A 9,629-nucleotide genomic window follows, 5' to 3' on the forward strand; every position below is an offset into this window, starting at 1 on the left:
TATTCCCTGGCTGTCACCTCTGAACTGGCTGTTAAGGAGTGTGCTTTTCTTGAGGTCTTTGGCTTTATAACTCATTCTGCAAGAGTAAAGGTGAAAACCAATGAGTGTTGTATGCCGATCTGTCCTGCAGACTCTGGCCAAGTGATGAATGAAAGGAGTTTGCTGACACAGGTATTTTTCCTGACAGTGCGGCTAGGGGACTGCACCACTCAGTGCTGCTGATGAGAGAGTGCAGCAGCCGAAAGGAGTGCAGCCCCCCTAAGCTGGCCCCGCTTGCGTTTATTTAGTACAGATTTAATGACAAGGGCTTGGAGCAAACACAATTTGTGGGTAATTAACATTGTCAACTCCCCGAGTAGAGAGCAGTCCTGCACATGAATGATCAAAGCATGGTTTCCAGAGATATAAGTAGAACAATTTACCTAGATAAGTTTCTTTACATTCCGTTGTTATCTAACCCTTGCTCTTAAGAGAATTTAACTGCCTTCAGCTAAATTCTCTTTTGAAGCTTTTGCAAAATCTCCCATTCTTCCAAGAAGGTTTGTGTCTTTCCCTATAACCTTTTCTTACAACTTTTCCCACCACCCTGACCAAACTCCTACAGTTTTAGGTTTAAGGTCAGCCATTTGCTGGCTCTGGGGCTGTGGAAGAAAAACTAAATCCCTCAGTTCATGCACACAGTGTGACAGCTTGGCATAAGTAAAAGACATGAACAAAAGGATTAATGAAGGAGTGAAAGAAGGAAGGAGTATGCATTAGGCACAACCATCTAAAAACTAAAAAAAACTGGAATGCATTAAACTCATTCATTCAACAAGTATTGGTTGAGTGCCTACTAAGTGTCAAGTGCTGGGCCCGATGTGGGGGATACAGTGGAGGATACAGTGGCAACACATGGAAAGTAAAGGCAGTGAAAAGGCCATGGATTTAAAAATTAAAGGAAAAAAAGAGGTAATACATTTGTTATTGGTTTTAGCAAATCCAAAAAATGTGAGAAAATAGTGCAGTGTGTGCCAAATCTACAACTCTTTCACCCTCACTGAGTCTCAAATTAAGAATGCACAAAAGCAGAATTACTAGGAAATCAAAAGTTTTATGGGTGTATTCCCTTAAGTAATAGCACTATACTGCAAAATTGGTGGAGGTCGCCTGCACATTTGAAATAACCAACCTGCACCTTTACCCCCTCCCCCAGATTCTAACCAAATAAAGTATGAAATAAGGCAGAACTCGCCATGCTACACCAACTTACCAGGAATGAAGTTGATGCTGATTGGAAAAGTGTCAAGCAATAAAGGAGAGTTTGGATTTATCTTAAACATTATCTTCATGTCACTTGAGACTTTAATCTCAGCCAAATCTACTTCCAAAACCAATTTCTTGTGCAATGATCTTGTCTGGGTCCAGGCCAAGGCTTACTTCTATTGCATAGCTACTCTCACCCTTCTCGATTTTTACTCTGAAGAACTTTCCTATCTGGGTTAGAGTTTCTTCTGCTAGGCATCAGATTCTGCAAATATTTATTATCTCATGTTAATCAAGACCCCCTCTAGATTCTGCTATTTAACTTTAACTATTTTGACATAAACAGAGTGATTTAAAGGCAGTTGTAACTTGTTTCTAAGTAGGGCCTGGTATAGCTTTTAAGCAATGTATCTCTCCAGTCACACACAATAATGAATGGATTCTAACTTACCCTAAGTACTACCATGTTCCTGAAGGTAAATAAACCATGTCAGCTCTGTGAGGCTTAGGAATTTTTCTTTAAAACGTAGTAACCAAAAATGTTACCAGTTTTCCTTTGATTACTACTATATTGCCCAAGAAGTGTGATCAAAAGACATCTGTTTTATGTATCAAAATTCATACATCTGCTTCATTCACTTCCTTTTATGGTATCACCTCTGACTTCCAGTTTCCCTATTGTCAGAGAGAAACAATTAAATGGGAGATGCTTTGGACAACAGGATTTTTAAAAATCCAGTGGCCACAGAGAGTTGGAACTGAAGAATCAGAAGAGAGGATTAATTTTCTTTCCTCTTACCAAGTTTCTTAAGTATTTTCAGAACTCTTAAAGGGACCTATCAATAGCAGGGAAAGTGTCTGAATTAATGGCAGGATTCTTGAGGACTTTCTCACAAAGATAATTAAGGTGGCACTCTAAGAAAACTACCAAAGACATCACAAATAATGTATAGATATTTTTATTGTAGCATTACTTATGGTAAACTTGGATCCAATTTGAATGTTCCACAATAGAGGAATGATTCATTCAACAACAATACATACAAGTGTTAGAAAAGTATTCAGGCATTAAAAATCATGTTTTATCAAATAGTAAATGACACAAAAAGGCTTGTAATATATTCAATGCAAAACCATATTCAGTATAATCTCAACTCTTAGCCCTAAATGTTCATATGATCTTGGATTAATATTTTTTTTTTACATTTTCAAATTTTCAAATTAGAAGTGTGATTATTCTACTTCTATGGTGTGGAAACAATTACCCTCTGAAAAAGTGAAAAAGTAAGAACAGTCATCTTCTACTTTCCACATTTTCCAAATACAATGAACACATTACACGTTTACAGTGGAAGAAAAGAAACACCTATCTTTTAAAATAGTAAATAAATCAGAATAAGAAATTCATCATGAATTTACAAAATTATGTCATCAAGTATAAGTTCAGTTCATGTTTAGTTTTGAAACTGTTTATCAAAATTAAACAGTTTGACTTATTTTTATTAGAAATACGATTCTAAGTATTCAACATTGCTTTTTAAAAAATTATCTTCTAGTTTTTCACAAAATCTGAGGAGCTGCTACGGAAATCACACCAGATCTCATGTGTTTAAATGTGAACATGCTCACCACAGACCAAGGACATTCAACCTTTCAATCCCCAGGATTTCCAAGCCAGGGGTTTCATCTCTTACTTATGGAAAATTTGTCCATTTAATTGTGAACCAATCAGCTTTTCATTGTGTCAAAATCAAATCTAGATAGTGAAATTGGTATTTTATCTTTATTGTTATCTTAAATATATCTTGGCTTAAAGAGACATAAGTGGCTCTTCCCCACTATACCAGATAATGAGTTGCAAATAAATCATTCAGTAGTAAAGTTCAAAGAAAGCTTGAAAGCATTTTGAATTTCCTAGTGTCTTACAGATTTGTTTCTTTTTACAACAACCATGTCCCATGTATATCTATTTAGGACCTTAAGTTGTTAATAATCTACTCTGAATAATTCCTTAAGAAAACATTAAGAGGACAATGTCTATACCTGGGAAATAAAACCCAAAGTAGTAGAAATTGTATTAAAAATCATGTAGTTAATTAAGAATGATTGTGAGCTTAGACACTGAAAAATGTGTCACTGAAAGAATACCAAAAATGGTCAGCCTTTTCCTGTTAAGTTATATTAAGGTATATATTATAAGCACTTAGTACGTAAGAGAAGAGTTAGAATGAGATTGTACCAGGTTCAGAATTCCTTATCTGAGAAGACCAGACAAAATTCAAGGTTTTTAGAGAGGGACTACCCTGAATGATGTCACCAGTAAGTGGGTTTATAAACAAAGACAGAGCTTGGCAGGTTGCACTGGATACTTCAAACCAGTTTCTCTGGAAAAATTTGAGTTACTCAATAAACCCTCAGTTTTCCTGAGGTAAATCAACTTTGAAATACAATGGAGAACTCTGGGTGATAAATCATGCTGGGTTACACACTGGGACTGCAGTTCACAGAACATGATTAGATTTAAGACAATAGAAGATAGGAACATTTTTTGAACTAGTTTATTGAATCCTTTTGAGAATATCACTGTTTGGCAGTTCCTAGAAAGCTTAGACAAACTAATCTTCAAGAGGCAAACAAATTAACTTTGAACTAAAAAAAAAAAAACAAACAACCAAAAACTTTGAATTAGAGAACATCTGCAAAGAAAAGCCCAACAATCTGACATGTTGATTATTACTTTTTAACACTGCAGGAATACAAAGATGATTTTACTGTTCAGACCTTTACACATCGCACAACAGAAAAATCCTTCAGTTGACTAGTTTCCATAAACTTTGTAGCGTTATGGCAAAACGAGTCATCTGTGAAATACACAAATGTTTTGTACTGAGGGATATTTTCACATAACACAGGAGATGATACACTTAAATTTAGACCCCCTCAATCTCATCGTCATGCTGATTATACTGTAAGCAGTGATTGGGGTGCACACATTGCATGTTTTGAAGGTATGGATGTGGCAATTCTAACGTATCAACATTGTTTCTGAAAAGCTAAGGTTTTGTTATTGAACTACTATTAGAAGTCGAATGTGATCCTCTTCCAATGTCTGGCGTTGCCTTCCTGTGGAATTAACACTCTGTGTGATTTAGAGTACGTGTCCCGACTTTCTCAATGCTCATAAATACCTTGTCTGTAGGAAACTTTCTTTAAGGGAAAAGCAGCTTTAGCCTGTCTCCAGTACATGGCCCTGACTTGCTTATACATGTAATCTATTATGAAGGAAAAAGAGCCATCCTCACAAATCTACAAGATTAAAACTCCTAGCACAAACACAGCTTGAATCAGTGCTTCTGTAGCTTGTTTCAGCAAAGGGACCATCGCCAGCACTGTGGCTACAACATATGCCTTGCCATCAGATACAAGAGTTAGGCTTCATATCCACGTCCTGTGCAATAAAAAAGCTTTAAATCTGAATGGAACATCTGTAGAATTAGCTCACAGACAACTCAGAAGCAGGAACACTTTGGTCTGTGTTCAAGTAAAATGAAGGTTGAAATTTCTTTATGCAGCAGCAGAAGTAGGATTCTGTATCTCTCTTTGGAGTCAAGTTGGTCTTTGAAAGAAAACCAATTTGCTTTTAAGAGGTTCTAATCTAGTAGGATACCAGATGATGGCAAGTGTGTTTAAACCAAGTATAGACTAAGGGACTGGTACACTGAAAAACTACCTTCTGTTTCAGCAGAGGGTAATCAGGGTGTCAGCAATGCTGTTGTTACTACTAAGGTCACCAAGGACCTAGACCAAGAAGTTCCATCCAGCAACACCTTATTACAGTGTACAGAGGTCAACAGTAAGAGGTAAAAGAAAAAGATAACCTTTTATCAGACTTTTACATTACATTGCTAATTTTTATTACAGAATATTTTTCATTCTTTTATTTTGATCCACTGATATTTATTTCTGATTCTGACTCTGCCTACTGTTATTCACCCTACTTGTTAATTCTAATCTATTCTTTTTATTTGTAAAAGCATAACTTTTCTGAGGCATAGTTGTGTGTGTATATGTGTATTTAACCTATTCTAGAAACATTAAATTAGAAGAGATAGAGATTACAGATTATAATAGCATGTAAAGAGTTTCATACAGTTAATACCTGAGAGTCTGCACAGTGGGGAACTCTGAAGTAATATGTAAGGTGTCAAGAACAAGCAGGTCAGGACTGTGGCACTCAAAGGGCAGGTAACTAGCTTTTCAGTAACATTTTTAAGTAACAGTTTCACAGATCCTCAGAGAATGCCAGGCAGTAAAGGACGCATCTCAAAATCCATACAGCAGATTTCTGGTTTCCAAATTTCTGGGAGATAGTACTTAATACGGTATTTAAAACTCTGCAATTGCTATGGAAGAGACATTCTGGAGAGTTACGTATTATCCAAAAATAAATTTTTCAGAAGCAGGAAATTTTAAAATGAGAAACCAACCAAAAAAGAATGGCCAACCTTTTAAACCTTTTTTTTTCCATTAATAAGGAGCTACATAGTCTGCTGGTGAAGAACTTGATAGAAATTGACTGTTTTCACTTAGTGGGCTGATCCCCTTGTATCTGTGTCAGATAAAATCATAGCACTTATTATTTGTTACCATGGATACCATGAAGATACTGCCATCCACTAAATAGTAGTAGAGGAAGACAACATAATTTTCTGGAACTAGTCCCGTTTTGCCTTCATAAGTTGCCTTTAACCATCCTGGTTCCACTGATGGGTCCACGCTGGAAAATATCGCTCCTTGTGGGAAGGAAAACTCATGCTGTGCTCTGCTTTACAGGAGTACATGGCTTTGGCTTGGTGCCCAGAAGAAACTGGCTTAGGTGAACCAACATTTTCAAACAGTTGAGCTTTTGCTGCCACTACTGAGCCAGTACGCTGATAGCTATTGCTTGCAGTGGTGTCTAGTCTTAACCTCCTGCACATTTTTGGAGGCAGGTCTGGGTTTGAAGCTTTGGGTGTCTTCTTGGAACCTACAGAAGTTAAGCTTTGAATAGATCCACTGTAGCTGGTGTTTCCTTCAGCTGCAGAGATGGATCTGAGAGAAGAAGCAGAAGCTCTTTTCAGTCCTGAAAGTCCATAAGGCCCTTTCTTGACTAGGTCTATGGGTGGGGGAACATCCCCTGGGCTAGTGACCGAAGCAGCACTCTGGCAATCTGATTCTGCATCTGTCTTGGTTGCATCTTCTCTAGAACTTGATTCAGGACTGGTTGTCCAGAGACCAAGGCTTTTCTGTCCATGGGAAGATGAAAGGGTTGCAATCCAAGGAATCCCTCCAGATTTCTCCCTGGGCTGGCAGGAAGCTGACTTTGTAGTGCTATTTTGTTCCGAGGAAAGAGAAGAGAGTGACTTGATGCTCCCCATGGGGGTGCTGTCTGGGCTGCTGCTATAGGAGTCACTGTCAGGTTCAGCCAGGTATGGAGTACACGTCCCTCTGGGCTTCCTAGAGCCTGTAGAGAGGCAGATTGCTCGTGTCCTTTGGGATCCAGATCGAGACTGAGGCTGAGGAAGAGGAATGCTTGGGTCTGGAGCAGTATGAAAAATCGTTTCATCGTGCTCTGTAAGAATTTCTAACACAATATTCTGAAATTTAATATTCACCATAGCAGCTACAGTTTATTCTTGTGCTCTCATTAGAGTTGGGAGAAATATGACACCAAGATTTGAGACAGTCATGAGATTTTGTTGGCTGTGCAGTGATACTTTGACCAGATGTTTTATTAAGATGTCCAGCATCTCTCTGTTTTTCTCTGGCAATTTGCACACCAATGCATGTACAGCCTCCACCCTGTAGTTTTGGTCATCAGATTTAACAGCAATGATACAAATCTTTGTGTAACTTGTAAGTCATCAGTGGTGCTGCAAAGCACCTGAGGTAGTTTTTCAGCCCACTCATTGTCTTATTGTCCCACAGTTCAATATCAATATCAGGAGGGGATTTAGGAGAAAATATGATATTCACAAGTTTTTGAACTTTGGAGTTCACTCCTCCTATTCAGTAGAGGCCTAAAACGGTGATACCGCTTGTTTCCACAGCTTGAATGCAGTTTCTCACAAAATTGAACCCTGCTTCATTCAAATACCTTTCTTCTTTCTTGCTTATAATGTCAGGCAGAGTATAAATCATTTCCTTCCCATCCATGGCTTCAAGCCAGAGTTTCCTATTAGCGTCTGAGAAGGCCTGTAATGTGATGATCCCATGCCTTTCAACTACTTGTATGTCGAAGCAGAAGTGGTTGTCAATTGAATCTGTCTTTCGTCGGATACAAGTTTTTGAACATTTCCGGTGAGCTAGTAACAAGGCTGTTTAATCCATGTAAAACCAAGCGGTCGTTTCTCCTGGACATACGGATAGCCTTCCATCGTCCACTGGCTGGGTGGTCTGTAGTCCTGGTTGGCAGATTTCATCCTCTGCATCAACCCCTCTACCTCTTGTCGAGTACTTTCAAAATTATTCCTTGTATTCTGCAAGTTGAACTGCAGCTGTTGCTTATGCGGTGCAAATTCCTGGGCAAGTTCATATCCCTCGTGGTAAAAAAGTAAATAAACCCTGAAGAAATGACAAAAGCGGTTCAACAAATTCAAACTTTTTTTCTTGAACCGCTTGAATTTTAAAGACATATTTTTCATTTATTTTTATTTATTTGTTTATTTATTTATTTTGAGACGGAGTTTTGCTCTTGTTTCCCAGGCTGGAGTGCAATGGCGCAGTCTCGGCTCACCGCAACCTCTGCCTCCTGGGTCCAAGCGATTCTCCTGCGTCAGCCTCCCGAGTAGCTGGCTTTACAGGCATGTGCCACCACACCTGGCTAATTTTGTATTTTTAGTGGAGACGGATTTCTCCATGTAGGTCAGTCTGGTCTCGAACTCCCAACCTCAGGTGATCCGCCTGCCTCAGCCTCCCAGAGTGCTGGGATTACAGGCGTGAGCCATTTAAAGACATTCTAATGATGCTTCATAGAAGTTCTGATGTGCTTGATCAATTTGTGTATCTGCCTCTTGCAAATGAGACTCCTTTTTCTTTGCAGATAAATTTAAATGCTTTTCAAGGATAGAGTAATATTTTTCACTCTTTGTCAAACTTCTTTCCATCTTTTACTGCACCTATCTGTTCTTTTTGAAATTTCTCAAGTGGTGCAATTAATACATCATTAGCCTTTTGGATCAGTCTTCACCTTTCTTCTTCTGCTGCAATGAGTAGTCTTGCAAATTCTTTTAGTGACTGACTAATACTAATTTCATCATCTGTTTCAGCATTATCAATACATTCAAATTGGAAATCTTGTAATGACTGGGAAAATTTCTGCACTGCCATAGACAGATCCCCAACCTGGGTAGAGGTGTGTTCCTTTGGAAAGGGTGAAAGGGTAAGGGAACTGGGTAGGCAATCAACATTACCTGTCCTCAACGCCCCAGTGAGCGGAGAGCCCTCCTTAATGAGCTCCTTGATGAACTTGTTGGTTCGCTCCAGTTCAATCTCCTGACACTGCAAGCGCTCCCTGAAATCCGGGCTGTCCAAGTAGGAATCGCTGAACTCCAGAGTAGGCAGCCCCATGGCACAGGCGCTGTCAGCGGCGTCCGCGGGCACGTCTGGGCCGGCGGTCAGGGCAGCAGCTGGCGGCGGCGGCGGCGGGCGCTGGGGACGCGCGATAGCGGGGAAGGCGCTGCTGGGACGCCAGGGGACTGATCGCTGAAAGGAAACGGGCCCGCGCGCTGCAGCCACCTGAGCCGGGCTCAGTCTTCCTCTCCCGGGGCGAGGCAGCGCAGGCCTGGCCTGGCGGAGGGCCTAGGCGCGGGTCCGCTCAGGTTGCTGTCAACGGGAGGCACCGTCGTTCGGAGCGCTGGGACTGCGAGCAACATTGTTGATTATTAAAGAAGCACACAATAGAAGTGCTAATTTTATTTTATGAGTTCCTTGATAATTTTTAGAATCTTTTGTAGGAAAAAAAAGTAGTGTGTTTATGCTTGCCCCAGGCTTCCCTGTGTGAAAGCTGCTTTTTCTCAACTTTCAAAAATGAGTTTCTGATCGACATTAATGATTCTGTTAAACCTCTATATAAGGCAAAGGCAATTGGGAACATCTGGAAAGGCATTTGGAAACTTCCAAAATTATAAATATTTGCATTTAAATTTCCAAAGCCAGTTGTGTTCATTAGTTTTATTTTTTTAATTTTTCCTAAGAAATTATCTCACAAAAAGCAAGAGGCCTCTAGTGTAACTAGTTTTCATTTTTCCTGTTACTGGAGTCAGATCAGCTGAAGCATGTTCAACCTCTCCCCTGTGGGCCAGTTACAGGGGAAGGAAGGAAGGGGGGGAGGGAGGAAGGGAGAA

General features: G+C 39.7%; 1 pseudogene; it reads right to left on the minus strand.

The window, feature by feature from the left end:
• Positions 1-5,634: 5,634 nt before the first annotated feature.
• Positions 5,635-9,056, minus strand: ARHGAP42P1 (ARHGAP42 pseudogene 1; annotated as a pseudogene).
• Positions 9,057-9,629: the final 573 nt, after the last annotated feature.

This window comes from Homo sapiens, chromosome 2, assembly GCF_000001405.40.
Source record: "Homo sapiens chromosome 2, GRCh38.p14 Primary Assembly".
In the NCBI taxonomy this organism is placed as follows: domain Eukaryota; kingdom Metazoa; phylum Chordata; class Mammalia; order Primates; family Hominidae; genus Homo; species Homo sapiens.